The sequence below is a fragment of the Homo sapiens genome, chromosome 3 (genome assembly GCF_000001405.40).
Source record: "Homo sapiens chromosome 3, GRCh38.p14 Primary Assembly".
Taxonomy (NCBI): domain Eukaryota; kingdom Metazoa; phylum Chordata; class Mammalia; order Primates; family Hominidae; genus Homo; species Homo sapiens.
Genome location: NC_000003.12, coordinates 170765960 through 170788900, shown reverse-complemented (window position 1 = coordinate 170788900; position 22941 = coordinate 170765960). Strand labels below are relative to the sequence as shown.

General features: G+C 40.7%; 1 long non-coding RNA gene across 1 annotated transcript in view; it reads right to left on the bottom strand.

The window, feature by feature from the left end:
• Positions 1-20986, bottom strand: part of LOC105374211 (uncharacterized) — a 69709-nt gene extending 48723 nt beyond the window's left edge. The window contains exons 1-2 of the long non-coding RNA XR_924701.2: positions 19976-20986; positions 16834-17032 (exon numbers count right to left, since the gene is read on the bottom strand). This is a non-coding gene — a long non-coding RNA (uncharacterized LOC105374211). The remainder of the gene's footprint in view (positions 1-16833; positions 17033-19975) is intronic.
• Positions 20987-22941: the final 1955 nt, after the last annotated feature.

Here is a 22941-nt window from a genome sequence, read left to right as displayed (position 1 = left end):
ACTGTTAAGAGCACTTTTGAACAATTTTTTTGGGGGACGTATGTTTCCATTTCTCTTTGGTTTTGGTTTGTTTATTGTTTGTTTTTGTTTGGTTGGTTTTGTTTTGTTTTGAGACACGGTCTGTGTTGCCCAGGCTAGAGTACACTGATGTGATCTAGGCACACTGCAACCTCTGCCTCTCAGCCTCAAGCGTTCCTCCTGCCTCAGCCTCCTGAATAGCTGGGACTACAGGCGTGCGCCACCATGCCTGGCTGATTTTTATATTTTTTTATAGAAACGGGGTTTTGCCATGTTGGCCAGCCTGGTCTCAAACTCCTGGACTCAAGCGACCCGCCTGCCTCAGCCTCCCAAAGTGCTGGGGTTACACGTGTGAGCCACCATGCCAGGCCTCCTCTTTGTTACTGTATTAGCATCGCTTTCTATTGCTGATGCAACAAATTACCACAAACTTAGCAGTTTATCATACGAACGTATTAACTTACAATTCCGCAGGTTAGAAATTCAACAGGGCTCTCACTGGGCTAAGACCAAGGTGTTGGCAGGGCTGTGCTCCTTTCTGGAGGCCCTCGGGGGAGAATCCATTTCCTTGTCTTTCCCAGCTTCCAGAGGCTGCCCACATCCTTGGCTAGTGGCCTCCTTTCTCCATCTTCAAAGCCAGCAACATTGCATCTCTTTGATGTTTCTTCTCTAATTACATTGCCCTCATACCCTAATACTTTTGCCTCCCTCTTCCACTTTTAAGGACCTTGTGATTACACTGGGCCCACCCGGATAATCCAGGATAATCTCCCTAATTTAAGGTCAGCTGATTAGCAACGTTAACTCTCCTTTGCCATGCAACAGAGGTCTTAGGGATTGGTACATAGGCAACTTGGGATGGAGTGGGGGTGAAGGGGGCACATGGTGGCATTATGCTGCCTACCACAGGTAAATAGTCAACAGTGGAATTAATTGCTAATCATAGGGAAGATGTATGTTTAACTTTTTAAAAAATTGCCCAAACTTCCCCCAAAGTGACTGTAAAATTTTATATTCTCGTCTACAATGTGTGAGAGTTCTGGTTATGTTATGCCACATCCTTGTCAACATTTGCAAATGTCTGTTTTAGACATTCTAGTGAATATTAGTGATGTTTTATTGTGGCTTTAATCTGCATTTCCATGATGACTGGTGACTTTCAGCCCTATTGATTTGCATATTTTTCTTCTGCAATTTTTTTTTTCAAATGTTTTGCCCTTTGACAAACAACCCAGTAAAAAATTAGGGATTAGTACAAAATGCCATCATGTTCCCCCTCCCCCAACCCCCCACTCCATCCCAAAATGCCTATGTACTAATCCCTAATTTTTTACTGGGTTGTCATTTTATTCCTGAATTGTATGACTTCTTTTTATATTCCGGATAATAGTCTTTTTTTTAAATACGTTTTGCTAATATTCTCTTTCAGTCTGTGATTTGTCTATTCATTTTATTAATATATTTTGATAAGCAGAAGTTTAAACTTTTTGTTTTATGATTTTTGCTTCCTGTGTCCTTTTAGAAGTTTTATAGTTTTAACTTTGATGTTTAGGGGAATGATCCACCTTGAATTATTTTTCTGTGAATAGTGTGAGCTAGAAGTTGAACTTTCTTTCTTTCCATATTGCATATTCAGTTATTCAATAATCATTTGTTGAAAAGATTTTCCTTTTCTCATTGGATTGCTTTGGCGGCTTTGTTGAAAATCCAATGACTATATATGTGTGGGTTTATTTTTGAATTCTTTACTCTGTTCCATTGATCTAGTTATCTTTCCTTACGTATATGAGTAACAAACTTTTGATTACTGTGGTATATAGCAAGTCCTGAAGTCAAGTAGTGTGAGTCCTCCAACCTCATTCTTCTTATTCCATTTGGTTTTGGTCTTCTTTGCACTTCCATACAAACTTAAATATCAGTTTATTCATTTCTACCTAAAATCTGGTGGAATTCTGATTCAAGATGCATGAATCCATAAATCAATTTAGGAATGATTAACATCTCAAAATATTGAGTCTTATAACCCATGAACCTGGCATTTTCCCATTTATTTAAATCTTTAATTTCTCACATCAATGGCTTGAGTTTTTAGTGTAAAGATTATGTCCATGTTTTGTTACATTTATTTCCAAATCTTACATTTACGTTTCTATATTATTGTAAATAGTATTGTTTGAAATTTTATTTTCAAATTGTTTGCCATCGTTTTGTAAAAATATGATTTATTTTTGTATATTGATTTTGTGTCCTGTGATATGGCTAAATTAACTTGTTAGTTCTATTAATGTTTCTGTATATCTGAGTATTTTCTACAAGCAGTCATATTATCTGTGAATAAAGATAACTCTCTTCATTCTGTTATAATTTCTATGCCTTTTAATTCTTTTGCTTATTTTGTTGCATTACCCAGGATTGCCAGGACAGTATGCAACAGAAGTGGATGAATATACATGCTTATTCCTGATTTTAAAGGGAAAAGATACACTACCTCAACATTAGTATAATATTAGTCGTAGGTTTTTCTTAGATGTTCTTTATTAGATTGAAAGGTGTCTACTCCTTATTTGCTAGGTTTAAAAACAATTATGAATGAGTGGTGTATTCTGTCAAATGTTTTCTCTGTGTCTATTTAGATGACAATGTTCTTCTCCTTTCTCCTGTTGATATACTGAATTTGTTGATGGACTTTTGAGTGTTTAACCAAACTTGATTTCCTATAAAGCCAACTTTGTCATAATGTGTCATCCTTTTTATATATCACTAGATTCCATTTGCTAAATTTTGTTAAGGATTTTTATGCTATGAACAAATGATTTTGGCTTGTATTTGTGTGTGTGCGTGATTTCTTTTTCAGGTGTTAATTAACATTATGCTGAACTCATAAAATCAGTTTGAAAGTGTTCTCCTTCCTGAATATCTGAGGTTCTATACAGCATGATTTTCTTTTAGTCTAAAGAATTTCCTCCTTAAACTACTGGGTGGGGAAAAAAAAGAATTTCCTTTAGAAGTTTTTTGTGGTACAGGTATGCTGGCAACTAATTCTGTTTGTACTCATTTATCTTTTAACAATTCTACCTTCCTCATTCCTGAAGGAGCCTTCCTTCCTTTCTTTCTTTCTTTTTCCTTCCTCCCTCCCTCTCTCTCTCTTTCTTCCTTCCTTTCTTCCTTTTTGTTTCTTTCTGTCTTTCTTTCTGTCTTTCTTTCTCTCTTTCTTTTTCTTTCCGTTGTCTCTCTCTTTCTTCTTTCTTTTCTTTCTTTCTCTTTCTTTCTTTCTCTCTCTCTCTTTCTCTCTTCTTTTCTTCCCCTTATTTCTTTTCTCAAGGTCTCACTCTGTCACCCAGCCTGGAATGGTATCTTGATCATGGCTCACTGCGACCTCAACCTTTCAGGCTCAGATGATTTTCCCACTTCAGCCTCCCGAATAGCTGGGGCTACAGCACTCCTGGCTAATTATTTAAATTTTTTTGTAGAGACAGGGTCTTCCTATGTTGTCCAGGCTGGTCTGGAGCTCTTGGGCTCAAGCAACCCTCCCACCTTGGTCTTCTAAAGTGCTGGGATTACAGGTGTGAACCACCATGCCCGCTTCTATTTTTTTAAATATAAAATTCTAGGTTTACAGTTCCATTCTGTCATGCTTTTAAAGACATTCTACTGTCTTCTGGCCTCCACTGTTTCCAGTGAGAAGTGAATGGTAATTCATGTCTTTGTTTCTCCGTACATAACAAGTTGCTTTCTCTGGCTGCTTTCAAGATAATTCTCCTTACCTTCACTTCCTACATTTTGACTTTGATGTGCTTAAATGTAGTATATTTTGCAACAGTCGTGCTTGGATTCATTGAGCTTCTTGAATCTGTAAATTTATGCCTTTTACCAAATTTAGAAAAAAAAATATGCCATTGTTTCTACTAATACTTTTTTGTTCCTTTCTTTTGTTTTGGGATTCCACATGCACATATGTCAAATCAGTAATGTCAGCAGGGACCTAGCTTCCTTACACTTTTCTGCTCTGCTATTCTGGCATATTCTTCACACTTACTTTCTTCATGTTTCTAAGATGTTCACCACAGGACCAGACCACATGAAGATGCAACACTCCATAAAAAAAGAAGGTGTATTTCTTTTTGTATGCATGTTTTTAAGAGCTAAAAGAAAAACTTTCCCAGATGGTCTTTAGTAACATTCCACACGCAAACATCTCATTGGCCAGGACAAACACAACAGTAAGTTAATCAGTGACAAGGGAAATGGGACCACTCTGATTAGCTTAGTTTAATCAATATCTATCCCTGGGAGGTCATGGAACAGAATATGATTCTCCCAGTATGGGAAAAGGATATTGGGTATGAGTTATCAGGAGACAACAAACATTGCCACCTACACTGGAGAACTCCTCAGGTGTTTCTATTACCAAGTCCTAGAGTCATGTCTATATCCCTTCTCTTTGGGAGTTTCGAAGCTGCCATCCTCCACTCTTCTCTGTGATATTCCTGGCTTTGGGTTTCCCAAACCCCTCAGGATGCTTGGCTTTTTATCCCTCCTGCAAATGCACAGTTTGTTTCATTATAACATCCTTGTCTTTAGGAGATTGTAAGAAAAAAAGGGGGTTAAAAATGAACTATGAAGAGGCTATGAAGCTTTAAAAAAACATTCACAGTGTTTACTCTCATGGTCTCTGAGCCATAGTTCCCAAGTTCCTTCTGAGATAATAGCTAAATATCTGCTAGATTATTGTTTTCAGCTCTCTATCTATTCCAGAATGTCCCCTGGCTGAATCCACAGTACCTTGTTCTTTAGATTCAAAGCAATGCTAAACCCTTTATTCATGAAAGCATTATATTTGGCTAATACTTGCAGAGATCCGTCAGTTGGAAAATAGCATTGGGAGGATCCCTTGACTGATGACAGTGATATGTTCCCCCACAAAGCAGCCACTTTGGGCACCTCTGCCAGTCCATGCTGGGCTTCTCCTGATTCTCTAATGCTGTAAAGAGAAAGGCTGCTGTATTCAGACTGCGATTTAGGAATTTTCTAGAGTCTTTCTTTGCCATTGAACAGTATCTCTGAAACTTTATGCCATTTCTTGATATTCCATCCCTAAAAAGCCTCATCTCAAAATCTTCAAAATAGGTTCCCCAAGCTCAGATAGATATTCCATCCCAAACATACACATAACAAGGAGTACATGCTTGTAAGTGTGTGTCATTATTTCTGGGTTCTGTATTCTGTTTCATTGGTCTATGTGTTTGTTTTTGTACCAGTACCATGTTGTTTTGGTTACTGTAGCCTTGTAGTATAGTTTGAAGTTGGGTAACGTGATGCTTCCAGCTCCGTTGTTTTTATTTAGGATTGTCTTGGCTATTTGGGCTCTTTTTTGGTTCTATGTGAATTTTAAAATAGTTTTTTTCTAGTTCTTTGAAGACTGTTATTAGGAATTTGATAGGAATAGCACTGAATCTGTAAATTGCTTTGGGCAGTATGTCCAAAATATTCATTCTTTCTATCCATGAGCATGGAATATTTTTCCATTTGTTTGTGTTGCTTCTGATTTCCTTGAACAGTGTTTTGTAATTCTCATTATAGTAAACTTTCACCTTCCTGGTTAGTTGTATTCCTAGGTATTTTATTCTTTTGGTGGCTATTGTAAATGGGATTGCATTCTTGATTTGGTTCTCAGCTTGGATGTTGTTGCTATATAGAAATGCTACTGATTTTTATACATTGATTTTGCATCCTGAAACTTTGCTGAAGTTATTTATCAGATCAAGGAGCTTTTGGGCTGAGACTGTGGGATTTTCTAGATATAGAATCATGTTGTCTGAAAACAGGGATAGTTTGACTTCCTCTCTTCCTATTTAGATGCCTTTTATTTCTTTCTCTTGCCTGATTTCTTTGTCCAGGACTTCAAATACTATGTTGAATAGCAGTGGTGAGAGAGGGCATCCTTGTCCTGTGCCAGTTTTCAATGGTGTTGCTTCCAACTTTTACCCATTTAGTATGATGTCGGCTGTGAGTTTGTCATATGTGGCTCTTATTATTTCGAAGTATGTTCCTTCATTGCCTAGTTTGTTGAGGGTTTTTAACATAAAGGTATGCTGAATTTTATTGAAAGCCCCTATTGAGATAATCGTATGGTTTTTGTCTTCAGTTCTGTTTATGTGATGAATCACATTTATTGACTTGTGTATGTTAAACCAACCTTGATCCCAGGGATAAAGCCTACTTGACCATGGAGGATGAGTTTTTTGATATCCCCCTGGATTTGGTTTGCTAGTATTTTGTTGAGGATTTTTGCATCTAAGTTCATCAAGGATATTGGCCTGAAGTTTTTCTGTGTGTGTGTCTCTGCCACGTTTTGGTGTCAGGATGATGCTGCACTCATAGAATGAGTTGAGGAGGAGTCCTTCCTCCTCAATTTTTGGGAACAGTTTCAGTAAGAATGGTACCAGCATTTTTTATACATCTGGTAGAGTTTGGCTGTGGACCTGTTTGGTCCTGGGGTTTTTTAGGTTGGCAGCCTATTTATTACAAATTCAATTTTGGAACTCGTTATTGGTCTGTTCAGGACACACAACAGTGTGAACAGGCATAATTGTGGCTGTCTGGCCATTCTTTCTCTCTACTCTAGAAATAAACAATACAGAGCAGAATAGCTAAGAAAAGAATAGAAGCAGAGTATGAGCACAATAATGACAAGGACTGAAGTCATATCAGATTCAAGAACTCATGTTATATGGTAGACAAGGGAGTGTTCAGAAATAAGGGAGTGGAAATCATGTCTGAAAATCCTGGTGGTTAAACATTTAATAGGGGTTTGACATCGAGCTGTTGAGGCAAACACTATTGAGTTGTGGTCCTTAGAAGTTAGGCTATGAGAAAAGTTTTGGGAGTTTGGAGTCTAGGCAAGGGAGTAAGAGAAGATAGCAGTAGAATTGTAGAGATGGATAACCCAGAAAGTTAGGCAAAGAAGACAAAAGAAGATGTGGCCATTGGCCAGGAGTGTATCTGGCCCAAAAGTGTGTGTCTTCTGGCCTGAATAATACCTTCTAGTGGGCATGGAAGGTCCTGGGTCTGCAGGTGTGTTCAGAGAGGTATGGTATGTCACAGAAAGGATACTGGATTAGGAAGCACCAGGCATAAACTTTAATCCTAGCTCTGCCCCATGCAAGCTATATAGCCTTAGGGAATTCATTTAATCTCTCTGAACCTTCGCTTCTTCATTTGAAAAACTTTGATGAAAGCACTTGTATTCTGTGAGGATAAGACAATACATGTAAAATTACTTTGAAACTTTAAATTACTGTGCAAGTGTAAGCCATTACTATCTTATTACTGTGAGTACAGTGCCCTCTGATTAAAATAAGCAAAGAAAGGAGATAACAGAGGTATAGCGGATATTCAAGTTCCAGACATCCAATAAAGAAGCTATCCATATGAGCTATCCGTATCCATATGAGCCTAAATTATTTTTTTCTCAGCAATGTGAAGTTATCTAAGACTTAGAGTAGTAAGACAATGCAAATAGCTATCATTTTGTATAGTTGTTAGGACTTTTGGCTTCAAATGACTGAAATTGGCTTCAAATGACAGAAAAAAGGGAAAGTTTGTTGACTCACAGAACAGGAGAAGGCAGAGAGGCAGCTTCATTTAACCATGGCTCAGTTCAAGGGCTTAAATGGTGTTGTAATCTTTCTCTTTCCCTTCTTAGTTGTTTACCCCTGTGTGGACTTGTTTGCCCTCACATTGCTGGCTCATCATATCATTCCAGCTTAGCAACCTTAGCAGAAGGAAAAATGGACTCTCCCACCTTCCATATGCTAATCCCCAAAAAAGACTTGGATGCCCCCTGCCCCAGCACCACCCTGTCCTCAATCTTTGGGTAACATGCTCACCTCTGAATAAATCAGAGCATATTTACTTTTTCCAAGTATCAGATGCATAAAGTTATAAGTAAAAGAATCTATTTTCATTAACATGTGGTCAAACCAGAAGCTCTCTTCTATCAGGAATATATTTGATAATACAATATGTACAATTATAAAAGTGCCATATGCTTTTTTCTTATGATAGAAACTCCATGAAATTGAATTTATTAGAATTCTTGAGTTTATAGCCTATGCTTGTGATATTTGACAGCTTTCTGAAATTTGTCACTTGTTTCAATTTTTCTTCTCTTCATTTGGCACCTACTGTGTGTCAAATGCTTCACTGGTCGCTGGGGATATACAAGTGAACACAGTAGGCCCTTATGTCACTTGCCTAGGAAATTGTCAGATCACCACCAGTAAAATGAGAGGGCCTCCAAAGGACTTCTCTGTGAACCTTTGGTCACCCAAAAACTGTAACTGCCACTTCACTATACACTTAGGTTGATTTTTTAAAATCTGTAAGTCTCCCTGTAGCCTAGCACTGGAAGATAGACAAAAACAAAAGAGAACTAGTTAACATCTATTAATGAGACAGAACAAAGCAAGACAACAAAGGCAAGACTGCAATAGTGGCAGAGACCAACTTTCTGTATTTGAGGTTGGATCTTGACTTTTTTGGAATTTTATTTTAGCTATTTTTATCTTAATGAAAACTATATAATAATGATGGTGAAATGTATAAGCTGTGAAATCCTGTGTTTCTGGATGCAGGAGGGATATTCAATGGGGTGAAACAGGAAATGTCATAAAATCCAGGCACTATTATGCTGGAGAGACATTTTAAAGGTGCAGATTAGCCTGGAATTTGTCTCTTAGCTCAAAAGCCGTAAGTTTATAAAACTCTCCCTACCACCACCTACAGCAACCCAGAACATATCAAAATTAAAAGCTCAAAAAGACAGTGCAGAGAAATGCTCTGCCATTTAAATAGAGACAAGACACTTTCAAGTAGTAAGCAACTTCGGCTGGCATTTTGCAGAGTGTATTAAAAAATAAATCTTCTTAAATTGTAGCATGCAATGAAGACTTAAAGTATGAACTTTAAAAATCATTGCCGCCAAGAGATTTGTGAATTCTCTAAAATGGTATTGAAATATCTGCTATAAGAAAGAAGCCATTTCAAATGCAGATGGTGAAGGTGGTAAATACCTTCTGAAAGGGAAATAATCTATAAATTTACAGTAAAGGAAAAAGAGACATTCCCTTGGCATCCTCAGCTAAGGGTTTCAACAATTCCTAGTTAAGGATTGAAGGGTTGAAAGTTATTATCAGACTCTATGCTGTTTATTATTTTTTAATGTACATACACCTAATAGGTATGTGTATGGGCATGGGTATGGATATGGACACAGACATAGATATATAGATACATGGATATAAACACACCCATTCTGGAAGGGCTATTATTGCATACTTGATCTTTTACCTTTATGTATCAAACTTCTATACACATCCACACATGGTTAAGTAATGTAATAGTCAAGTATATTTAGTTTTCATTCTATTGAGTGAGTTTAGTCAATTTTACCCTCTTTGTTGCCATTACAAAGTCTCTGCTTCATTACCCTCTCTGGTGAACTGAAAAGACCTTGACATCAGATCTTGGTATAAAATTTGACTCTTTCACCTGCCAGACATGAGACCTCAAGCAAATTGTGTAGTCTCCAAGTTGGTAAAATAAGAAGAATAAGACTGATGCCCAAGGCTACTTTGCCCAAGATTAAATTATGTAATATATGTAAAGTTTCTGTAACCTACCACCCTAAGGGAAACTTCCTGCCCATATTTTCTGTTCACAGGGACTAGTGTGCCACATATAAAACAACGTGACCTCCCCTATTAGTTTTGGCCCTGGGTGGTGACCCACTCTCTGGTACCAGAGAGGAAATGACCCCAGTCCCTGGGCCTGTGTCCTCTGAGCCTATGGGGGCAGGGGCCGCCCCATCAGCCCTCTGCATCCATGGAAGTTGTTCTTCCTTCATTTCATTTCATCACTGTCCTTTTCAGTCCAGGCTGGCAGTATTTGTACTGGTATAAAATTCTCAGAAACCTCACTGGCCTTCTGTGCAATTCATGGAAATCCAAGCTATCAGACAAGAGGTCTTCCAGACTTTTAGATAACTATATCTCTATTCGTGGCTTCTGCTGAGATGGCTAATGGGATCCATGAGTTAAAAGCCTAATCTCTTTAGCAAAGGCTTCTCTAGACACACCCTTTGCCCTCTTTCCAGAGAACACTATCTGGTGAGGCTGAGACTCAGCCAAAGCATCAAGTGCTGGTTTCTTTTTACTTAGCAGTTTATTCTTCAATTTATTTCTTTCTTCTCATGTTGTGTTAAAAGCAATAAGGAGAAACCAGGTAGTACCTTCGAAACTTTTGTTAGAAATTTCCTCAGCTAAATATCCAAGTTCATTGCTTACAAGTTCTACTTTCTAACACAGCACAATTCAACCAAGTTATCAGCCACTTTATAACAAGGATCACCAGTCCTCCAGTTTTCAACATTTCGTCATTTCTGTCTGAGACTTCACCAAGCACCTTTAATGTTCATATTTCCAGCAACATTCTGTTCATGTGAAAAATGTATTTTCTAAGACAATAGTAGCTTTCTCCAAAGCTCTCCTCTTTCCTTTCTGAGCCCTCACCAGAATCTCCTTTAATGTCTATATTTCTAAAAAAGTCTTTTCAAGGAAATCCATGCCTTTTCTTTCACGCACCACACAACTCTTCCAACCTCTATCCACTACCCAATTTCAAAGCCATTTCTAGCATTTTAGACATTTATTACAGCAGCTCCCCAATTCCTGACACCAAAATCTGTACTAGTTTTCTAGGGTTTCCATAATAAAGTAATACAAACTGGGTGGCTTAGACAACGGAAATTCATTGTTTACTGTTCTGGAGGATAGAAGTCGGAAATCAAGGCATTTACAGGGTTGCTTCCTTTTGAGGGCTGTGAGGAAAGGAGCTGTTCCAGGCCTGTCTCCTTGGCTTGTAGAGGGCTGTCCTCGCTGTGTGTCTTTACATAGCTTTCTCTTTTTGTGCCTGCCAGTGTCCTAGTTTCTTCTTCTTATAAGAACACCAATCATATTGGACTTGGTGCCCACACTACTCTAGTATGGGCTCATCTTAATTATTTATACCTGCAATGCCCCTATTTCCAAATAAGGCCACATTCTGTGGTATTGGGGATTAGGATTTCAATGTATGATTTTTTTGGCTGGGGGGAGGACACATTTTAGCCCACAATATCTCCCTTACATGGTACCAGTTGATTAGGCCAGGGTTGGGCAGCTGATCTATATATTACTAATTTATAGTTGGCCTATGACATTATCTAGAATGAACAAGTAACTCTTGGGCATTTAACTTGAAAAGTCTAGCATCATCCAGAAAGTTTGCAGGAAGAGGTAACACTGAGAGAAACACAGAGAAGAGTCCCTGAGGTAAACAAGGGTTCCTGAGCAAGCCAGTTATGTGGGGGCAGTAGCTCTGAGTCTTGAATAAGCTGAGATGTGTGATTAGGGTAAAGATACAGGGCAGGGAGAAGTAGCAAAAGGAGACTCAATAAGCTACACATGGAGAAGGGCCGACAGAGAGCAGTGGAGTTAAGTGAAGGCAGAGCACTAGAGGATAAATAGGTTCAGTATCACAGCCAAGGCCCCCGGAAATGACCAGGATATGGTTCCAGGCCCCATGAGGCCAGGTCCTGCTGTGGCCCCTGTTCCTGGAATCATGATCTCTGTCTCCTTCCTAACTCCTTTCTTACTGGCCCCTCCCCGCAAAAAACCCCAACACCTCCTTGAGCTAAGCCAGGTACAATACAAGGAGCCCAATTAAATTAGCACCTAATTCAAGGATGGAACAAAGTCGGTCCTCAACAGTGTTAGTTTCCATCCCTCTTCACCAGCTGTTAACTAGATCAAGATTCTGGTGCACAAAGCTACCAGACTAAGCAATGGCCCTTCCATGGTGGTTGGCTCATTAACCCCTCTTACTCTTATATGGGTTTTAATGAGTTAAGGCACTGTCAGATGCCGCTTCTTTCAGGAACACATCCTTCAGACTGTACAAACCTTGGTACAAACATTAGGAATTGTTACACTTAGAAACTCTCATTTTTATGTTTATAAACTGAGAAGAGGAGGTCATCACAGAGCAGTGGCTTTCCTTCTCTTTAGTATGCAATAGCAAAGGTGGGAGAGGAAAAAAGAGAAAACTGATGAGAGAAAAGAGATGGCTGACTGTTGCTAAGCAACCTTTGTTGGCAAAAAATCTAAAAACAAGAATCATGAGCTTGTAATTTGGCCAATATCATAGAGGATATTTATAATTCCTGAGAGATTTGTTTTCAGACCATTCCTTTTTGTAATTGAAGCACTTAATCACTTATTTTAGAGATGGTTGTCATAATTACATAAAATTTTATCACTTAAAGCTAATTTTGGAATGTCACTGATTGAGTTCCAAGTATTTGCAGAAGATATCTTAAGTTTTTTTTTAATGAAATATGCATCAGAATATATATGGTTTACACATGAGTACCATGGCTCTCCATATCTATAGGCAAGTATGCGTCTCTCTGTTGCTGTTATAGCACTGAGAATGGAAGGGCAGCACCAAAGCTTACCGTTTACATAATTACAGTCTTGGATAGGGAGATTAATTCATCCTGATTTGTCCAGAAATTTCCCAAGTTTAGTACTGAAAGTCGTACATCCCAGGAACCCCCTCAGTCCTGGGCAGACCAGAACAGTTGCACACCTTATCTCTGATCTTATTGTTGTACCTAAGAGGGTTAGATTGGATTTGCAATGAACCCTGGGGCTAGAGTGTTCTTGAAAGATCTTTTCTGAACACAGCTGAACTTCATATCTTCATATGAACTTTATATCTGGGGATTCCTCTGGGCAACTAGCTAGTTTGAACCTGATGGGCTTTAATTCATTTGGTGGAGCCTCAAGAAAGAGTAGTTCAGTGGAATCCACTGGAACTCCTTGGGAGTGAGAGTGAAACCAACCTGTTTCCTTAATCTGTATTCTGGGCCCATATCTTAAGCCCAAGACTTCCAACCTCTTGTCGAACCCTAGATGCTTTATATATGTAACAAATTCCTGTCTATAACATCAGTCATTATACAAAGCAATTCCCAATGGGTATGGATGTAGTGGGGTCTGCCATGGCAGATGTGTAGTAGTAAACGGATGTGCAATTTGAAAGAGAAAGCCATCCTGCAGTTCTTACATGTATCCCAGGGAAGAGGCTGTTCCCACTATGGGAGCAGTCACATCCTCTCACACCAATACAAAAGCATTCTTTCGAACCACTTTGGCAATCAGAGGTTTGGGTTAGGCACAATAAATTGACCAACTACATGTCTACTTGCCTCTGAGGTTCTTGGCACATGGTACTATTGACTATGTGATCAATTGGCCTGCATCCTGTGATCAGTTGACTATGTGATCAATTGACCTGCATCCTGTTATCTAGGGCACATAATAATAAGGTAGGCTATGCATCACAGCAAACTGAATTCAATGTGGAGGGCCCAGGAAGGAGGTATTCAAGGTGCATAAATAGTTAGAAAATAAGATGGCCAGAACAGTGGTAATTTAACTTAGTAGAGATAAGACTGGGCATGGCGCAGTGGCTCACGCCTGTAATCCCAGCATTTTGGGAAGCTGAGGCAGGCAGATCACCTGAGGTCAGGAGTTCAAGACCAGCCTGGCCAACATGGTGAAACCCTGTCCCTAGTAAATATACAAAAATTAGCCAGGCGTGGTGGCTCATGCTTGTAGTCCCAGCTACTCAGGAGGCTGAACCCGGAGAATTGCTTGAACCCGGGAGGTGGAGGTTGCAGTGAGTTGAGATCATGCCAGTGCACTCCAGCCTGGGTGACAGGGCGAGACTTTGTCTTAAAAAAAAAAAAAAAAAAGATAAGACTGAAAGGTAATAATCAATGCTCATGTAGATAAGGATTATTTCAGCTAAGGGATAGGTCTTGTACTGAAATAGAGCAAATAAGGGAAATTTTGAGCAATCCAAATATGCCAGAGTTAGGTGGAACATCCTGACATTCAACATGTAATAATTATATCTCATCTGGCAATACAGGGATGCCCTGTATCCAGGGTTAACAAAGGATTTCCCAAGGCTTGACCTGATAATTCTCTGTGTTAATCAGTTTATACACTGCAGGAAAGACCCTAGATGAATGTACCACCACAGGTGTCCCTAATAATAATCCATGGTATCGCTCAATGCCTTGAATGAATACCAAAAAATTCTACAGTGATTTGTGTGTGTGTGTGAGCTGATGGCTAAGAGGCTGAGAGGTGAAATAGGACTAGGCAATTAGGTTGTAAAGATGTAGAATAAAACTCAGTTGATGCCCTTAAACTCAGCATCATGCCATTCTTTCAAATGAATAGAATTATGTTTTAGGCTGGCATTAAGGAGGGACAATGATGTTGCATATTTAACTAACAAATGCTAAGGGAGTTATAAGTGGATTTAAATGAAAAACTTTGCAGGTGAAGAAAGATAGAAAAAAGCTGAGAGTAGAAAAATAACAAAAAGCTCTCATCATTCTTTATTCTGGGAAAACAAGGGTACCAGTTTCTGGGTTGACTTGCTTATGTAAACTAAAGCATTTTTAAAGGGTGCAACCCATACATTATCTTCCTTAACAATGAATGAAAGGGTGGTACTATAAGTCACAAGAAAGATTATAGTGGGGTGAGTCAAGCGAATACTCAGAATTCTAAAATTCTGAATTCAATTCTTTGGGCTCAAGGGATATATTCTTACTTATATAATACTAAGTCAACAAGGAATTGGTATGGGGCATGGTGTAAAGTAGGGGAGGGTTGTGGAGGTTCAGAGATGGCTTTTTTATTCCATCTATCTTGTTCTCAGATCCATCCACAGACACAGGAACTTAACCCTAGACTCTTAGGGGCCCCCTGTGGCTAAGCCCTCAGTCAGCAGAGCTCGTTTCACCTGCACTATCTTCCTTGCTCCAACCTCTTTCCCCCACTACATACACACACACACACACGCACACACACACACATGCACACGCACACACACATACACACAGTCCCCAAGCCCTTTTAGGTCATTTCATGACCAGCTTTCCACTTAGTATAGCACATCAGCCATCTTCTGCTCCACAGGGACTAGGAAGTGGGGACATGCTTCTTCAGATCCTGACCTAGGAGAGAATCCCTACAAACACATTTCCTACTAGAACAGCTACAAATCTTATTGTGGTCAATGAATGTCTGTTTCTCTCTCAACCTTAAAGCCTTCCTCCCAATTCTTATCCTCAGTAGTCACCAGAAAAGGGAAACTTGTCCTGCCACAAAAGCATTTGAGGTTTATCGTCTTTAATGCTCGTATCCCAGAGCAAAGTAGTTGGAGAGGCTGATTCAGTAAACAAAGATTTGGACCAGGGAGAAAGGAAGGAAGAAACGGGGGAGAGAATATGTGAAAATAAATAAGGAAAATGAAGGAAGAGAAAAGAAAGACAAAAGGTAAACCATTTTCTAATTTGCCAGTGGAAGGAGTCTATGTCCCACAGACTGTATAATAGGATGACAGGAGTCATATTCTCTGTTCTCTCAGGACTTTCATCCTTGCCATTCCTTATCCCCAGAATGCTCTTCCAGCAGACTCTGGCTTGCTCCCTTGCTCCCCTTTTCCTCTGTTCAAGGTCAGCTTGGCAGGGAGGCCTTTCCTGACTACCTCTGACCCCTTGTCTTTATTCTTGCCCTTTATTCTTCTTGTCTAGCACTTATCACTGCATAATAAGTAGTACTACTTATTATGTTTTTACTTGTTTATTGTCTATTTTCTCCATGCTAAAAGGCAAGCTCTGTGTGAACAGGGACTTGCTGGTCCCCAGAACAGCCATCCTCTGCAACATAGCGAAAGGTCCTTAAGTATTTATTGAATGAAAATTAGGGTAGGGCTTCCTCTGGGAGCTTTACTGATGTTTTCAGGATTCACTCTATTGGTTTCAAGCACACAAGATGGGTGCTGGGGTATTAGGCCTATGATCAGTGTTCTTCAGCTAAAAGAATAAACATCAGAACCAACCTGGGCACTCCTTGGTTTGTAGACCACCAGATGCTTCCTGGCAGACTAATTTCTTTCCTCTTGTGGTAAATGAGGAAGAACTCCTAATACCTGGGTGTGAATGACCAAGGGCAATGGCCTTTCAGACACTGTAAGCCTTTAGATGGGTAGGAATTCTTGAAGGATACTAGCCAGTTGCATACAGGTCAAAGCCATCTGGGAGCTCTATTCTATGGGCTGCAACCCTTGCCACTCACTCCCAACAGGCAAGTGGATGTTTTAATTTGACTAGCTGCAACTCATTTTATCTCTGCAATAATTTGAGCAGAAAAACATCTGCTTGAAAAGAGCTTTGAGACCCTAGAATAAAAAACCAATGACCCAAGATTAAGCAAAGGGGAGTGTGGATGTGGGAGAGTCAATTAATTGAACACTGAAACATCCCACTTGGGGTTTGGGCTCATCTTCAAAATTCTTTTCTTGTTTCATCTATTGTAATTCCCCCAGACTGCTACAAAGAACTTGCATTTTATCCAAAGTAAATATTCCAGTAGATGAAATCTAAGCAGACCACTCTAGCACTACAAAGTGGAATTCTAATGGGTTTCTCCCACGCTGAGATTTGAGACTTTGGTGGAGGTGGGGTTGGGAGAACTATAGTTTTGAAATGAACAGTATTTTCTCTCTCTAAATCAATTTTACTTTAATGGATCTACACCTCCAGACCAATCTGTTGTAGCAGGCTGAAAAACAAAAAGTTTCTTTGGAAATATTCCCCTCTCCACTACCAGATATAGAAAATCTTACCTTATTCTAGATGTCTGTATCATTTTCTGCTTTATTTGCACATTGTGTATGCCTCTTTCACTTCTTATTAGCCTGCAGTATTTTTATGCCTTTTCCTTAAACTTGATGGACATCTGAGGATGACTTGGAAGCTCTCTCTCGGGAATGTCATGCTTAAGACAGACATGGCTTTCCCTCAAATCAAAGATGAGTTGAACAGCTGGCAAAGAAGGTCATTAGCTTTAGAATGGCTACATTTTTTAAATTATTTTTTAAAATTTACCCCTCCGATAGCATCAAGAAGAAAATTTAACATTTCTATGCAAGTCCTGAGCATCCTCTTTGTGCAAAGACAGATGACCACTGGACTGAGACGTTTCTGCCATTGTTTCTGCCTGAGGTCTGAGTCAGAACCCTTCCTCGAGCACCTGCTCTGTGTCCAGGATTCTGCTATACACTTGGTGTAGGGACTCACAGGAAGAAAAGATGCAGCACAGTCCTTCAGCATTCCTGAATGGCCTCTGTACAGGGAGGCTGCTCATGAATGTCCTAAAATATCTGCTCTCAAGTCAATCTTGCCTCCTCCAATCCACTCTCCATACAGCAGCCTGAGTAGCCTTCCAATACCAATCAGATGAGAGTCATTATCCCAGCTGAAACCCTTCAGTGTCTTGCTCTGAGTAACTTGGGATAAAGTCCAGCTTTTCTTTTTCTTTTTTTGAGATGGAGTTTCGCTCTGTCGCCCAGACTGGAGTGCAGTGGTATGATCTCTGCTCACTGCAACCTCCGCATCCCGGGTTCAAGCGATTCTCCTGTCTCAGCCTCTTGAGTAGCTGGGACTACCGGTGCACCCCAACATGCCCGGCTAATTTTTTGGATTTTTAGTAGAGATGGGGTTTCGCCATGTTTGCCAGGTTGGTCTCAAACTCCTGATCTCAGGTGCTTTGTCCGCCTTGACCTCTCAAAGTGCTGGGATTACAGCATGAGGCACCACATCCAGCCAAAGTCCAACATTTTAAATATGATTTATTCCTTGCCTAACCTTTCCAGCTCCATCTCTTACCTCCCGCTTAGAGCTCTGGCTGTGAGCAACATTTTACCTTCCTTAAACACACCTGTCCCCTTGTGCTGAGGCTCATCTCTGAGCCTTTCCATCTGCTGCTTCGGCTGCCTCACATTCCCACCCTCCCTTTCCTGCCCCTCATCGCCTGGAAATCCCCATTCATCCCTAATGTCTCCAGACTAGGTCCTCTTCTATATAGTTCTACACAAGAGTCTTCAACTCAAATACGTTCAGGTGCAAGACTGATAAATCAGACAGGTGAAACTGACTCTATATGAGACAATTCAGAGTAGAGGAGAGTAGCAAATGGTAGAGTGCATCCTTTTCTAAATAGACAGTCATTGTCTCAGCTCCAGGCAAGTGTTGCCATTTGGGACTACAAGCCTACTTTTGCCATCTTTTCTTATTTTTAAAGAGACATTAGAAATCTATATTTTTATTGGAAATGCCTCGATGTTTAACATGCTCTGTGGGCCCAGATGTGGCCTGTTAACCATCCAATGAAATATAGATTTGCTTTAGTTGTCTTCTCTGCAGAGTCTGTTTCTCAAACTGTAGTGAGCACGTCCTCAAAATGCAGAGATTTAGGCCTCACTTTCAGAGGGAGGCAGATTTGGGGGAGGCAGGAAGACAGAGGTGGCAGTCTGTGTTGTTCATTGTTTTATGGTACTTACAATGCCTAGCATGGGATCTAGGGCATAGCGGGTGCTCCAAAAATTACTGGTTGAATAACACATCCTAAGTTGAAGTATCGAACCTGGCCTAGTTCACAAGCTGCTGCCTCTCAAATCACCAAGACTAGTTGGGAATGAGTTGAGAGGAACTGACGCCGGCTACCACCAGCCCTCCCAAATTCCCTCCTATTTTTAGTTTCTGGAATTGAGGTTTATCCAGATATGGTACTGGATGAGGTAAAACCATGAGCATTTAGGGCATTGTATCTTTTTCCCTGACCAATTTAGATTTTTCTAGAATCAGTTGCTGAGGAAAGAGATGAGTAGTTTCACAGACAGGACAGTGAAAATCAGAAGGTGGTCTGCTTGGCAGCCCAGGGAGGGAATTCTAACCTCCTCCTAAGCTTTTCTCTGCTGGGTCCGGATTTCAAGGTGTCTCCATATACATGAGGGCATGTCCACCTGGGTGGTAAAAAATGTCATCTTGCATGGACAGCCTGGAGTCCATCTGGGAAGACTCCCTGCAGTGCACTCCACACTAAAGGTGGGAAAACTACCTCTTGTAAACCAGATTATTTAGTTGTAAGCTATTCTGTGCTTATTTACTTTTAATTTTCATTACAAGGCCTTTAGCACAGTCTTGCTTAAATGTTCCAGCCTTATCTGGAAGGGGAGACACCTCAATATAAGCAGCACCCTTTAGGTGCCAACTGGTGGCAGCAGTAGAGACGGAGCAGTATGGTCCTAGAGTGCTTGTTAGAAATGCACATGCCCAGGCCTCCTGCCCTCCCCTAGACCTGCCTCCTTCTGGGAGTGAGGCCTAAATCTCTGCATTTTGAAGACATGCTCACTACAGTTTAAAAAGCACTGCCTGGCCCAGCGCAGTGGCTCATGCCTATAATCCTAACACTTTGGGAGGCTGAGGCGGGTGGATCACTTGAGGTCAGGAGTTCGAGACAAGCCTGGCCAATATGGCAAAACCCCATCTCTACTAAAAATACAAAAATTAGCAGGGCGTAGTGGCACATACCTGTAATCCCAGCTACTCAGGAGGCTGAGACAGGAGAATCACTTGAACCCGGGAGGTGGAGGTTGCAGTAAGCCGAGATTGCGCCCCTGCACTCCAGCCTGGGTGACAGAGTGAGACCCCATCACAGAAAATAAGTAAATAAATAAATAGCACTACCTAAGGAGAAGAGTAAGGGGAGGTGAATTTTTCCCTCCTTCGTGTCTACCTTGTAACTTTGAGGTTTCATTTTGTCCAGGAAGATGGCAGGTATTTTTTTCTGGGGCAGAGATAATGCTTATTTCCTGAATGTGTCACACGGCATGATCTAATAAAGGCACACTTGGCTAAATGGTCCTAATGATTTGGACCTTTGCGCAAGGCGTCAATTTCAGCTCTGTTGCTCACTTATGCTCTCACCTGAGACTTTGGTGGGCTTATTTTGTCAATAAATATGTGGACCAAGACCCTGTAAGTAGGCCATTTCACAGTCATCCTCTTGTCTGTCTTCCTAGCAGTCAACCGCAGGAACAGACTGTTCAAGTGCATAAAAAGAGACATGTAGTGACACTCAGCAGGGAAGTAGGTCTTTTCTAAATAAGCAGCTTCATTGTTTTCCTGCTCTGTGTGGTGTTTACAGCATGGGAGGCTGACCAGCTCAGTTGACTCAGAAACAGAAAGAAAAATCAGGGAGCTGGGAGCTGGGGAGTTGTCTCAGTCCCTGCCTCACTGTGTGGTCTGTGGTGAAGTCCTCTGCCACCCCCCTCCACCCTGACACCCTGTAACGAGAAGGAAACCACACTACCATGCTCTGTAAGCTGAGGATGATAGGATCATGCATACTGGTTATTCAAAAGCAGTTTGCAAATTCCAGCATGAGATGAGTCTGCTATCTGTGTGTAGAGGTGAGGAAGGAGAGTCTGGACTGTTGCTGAGCCACATGTGCTATTATTGGAACGATGTTATTCCAGAGTCTGACCAGGTTTTAATTCTTGGCTTTGACATTAGCCTAACTGTATTATCATGAGCAAGTCACCTGACCTTACCAATCATAAGTAAGGAAACTTAATGCGAAATGTGAGATGGGTTAGGTGATGCCTAAGGTCCTCTTGATGACCCTAGCCCTGTCTAGTCCCTTCTGAGTTCATTCAGAAGGAAATCACCTTTGCTCAGGAGCACCATTTGTTGCTCTGACTTCCTTCAAGTCCTAGGTAGTTTGGTCTTGGAATAGGTACCACAGAGCAGAATAGGCTCTATAATACCTCTTGTGTCCCTTCATATGTAATTTAAAATTAAAGCAGTATGAAGCTATAAGGCAAGTGTTAGGAAGTACAATTCAATTCTCATTTTTTCCTACAATTAAATTTTTTGAAATGTTTTCTTGGAAATAGCAACCAAATTCTTTAAAAAACAATTGTTTTGGTGCCTCTGATTTGCAGAAGACAAGAATGTGTGTTTATTCCTGGTTAACTCAACACCGGAAAGACCATCTTGCTGTCTCTGCAGGGATTCTGCCAGTAATTGAGCCTCCACCACAAAGTGGAGATAATTCTGCTCAGAGAAGAGGAATTGGGGTATGAAGTGTGAAGGAGAAAGGAATCCAGGAAAGTAAACACTCAATGATAAACTGAACCCCATGGTCCCAGCTCAGGTTCAGATCTCAAGTCCTTGTTTTGATTCAGATAGCTGGGAAGGGAGTGGTGTTTGTCTCATGGGCTCTCTGATAGCTACTCTAAACCAAAGCTGGCTGATTAAAAAGATTCTGGGCATTATTATGAGAAAATATCAGATCAGTAATATTCTTGTCCTCATCAGGAGCCCTTTGATCAGGTCCTTCAGGTTATGGGGCTGTCAGGTGGTACAAAGAAGAGAGTGAGGAAGGCCCTGTTGATTCACTTGAGGCCTGTACCTCCAGCATGGGGCCTCTGAGTTCCCTTTCTCTTCCCATTGTCTTGCCTTTTTCTTTCCTTGAAAGTTATGTCACCATCTGAACACAGCTCTTCTGCCTTCTGGGCTGAGACTTATCCTTTCCTCTGAAGCAGAAAGCAAACAGGAGGTCAGCCACCTGCCAAGATCTAGCCTGTGGGACATGGCCAAGAACCTCCCTCTTCATTATATTCCTAGTTTCTGCTGTTTAGGACCCAGTGGACAGAGGGTCAGATGATCTCACCCAAGTGGCTGACTTACAAAGATATTGATTTTCTGTAAAGTTTGAGGTGGTGGGCTGGGGCCAGGGAATGTGATAGGAGCCTAGGCATGGAAGGCCTTTCTTGCTGAGGAGCTTGGGAGAGGACGTACTAAATAATTTTAAACAGGAAGTGAAAGATCAGATGTGTGCCTTAGCAAATCACTCGGTGTTGAAAGTAGATTATGGCAAAGTAGTCAATGGGAGATATAATGGTGGCTAGAGTGGGGGTAGTGTGAACGGAAATGGGGAGAAGTATATCGATTCCTGAGATTTTGGAGGGAGCATTGACTAGTCTAGGTGATTTACTGACTATGGGGGATTGGGAGTAAGGGAAAGAGAGAAATCTAGGTTTTTAGTTTGGACAAACGAGATGATACTGAGACCATTCACTAAACTTGGAAACACAGGTGGAGGGACTGTAATTTTGTCTGGGTGGCAGATATTGAAATGATGAGTTTGATTTGACTATATGATTCTGAGGTATCTTTGACATATTCAAATACAGATTCTATTAGATAGTATTATACACTTGCCTGGAATTCAGGAAAGACATCAGAGCTGGAGAAAACCACGAGGATAGTTGAGGTTGTCCGGGGAAGAGCTGCAGAGTGAGCACAGCAGAAGTCCTAGACTACCCTTCAAGGAGCACTCATGAGAAAGGAAAGGAACCTTGCAAGGGGGGCTGAGAAGGAGATGCCAGAGAGGGAGGAAGAGAGTCAGGAGACTTAAAGGAGGAGTGCTTAATGGTGACAAGTGTGGCCAAAGGGGTAAGAAAAGGAAAAGGTGAAGTGCCCATTGAATACAGCCAAAAGGGAGTTGTTTGTGATCTTGTTAAGGGTAGTTTTAGAGGTGTGGCGGGGACTGAAACCAAAATGCAGTGGGTTGAAGAAAGAGGGGAGGAGAGAGTGAAGGGATGACTATTTTAAAAAGTTTGCCTAGGAAGGGGAGACAGGAGTGGCTGGGCTGGAGGGAGGCTGTGTATAATCAAAGGAAGTTTGTTTGTTGTTTTATTGTATTTTGTATTTAAGATGAGAGATAAGTATAGTGATGTAAAAGAAAAGAAAGAAAAATAGCCGTCAAGTATGTCCAAAATGAATGAATCTGAAGAGTGTCATGCTAAATGAAAGAAGCCAGACTCAAAAGACATCATACTTTACGTGTAAGGGATTCTAGAAAAGGCAAAACTATAGTAATGGAA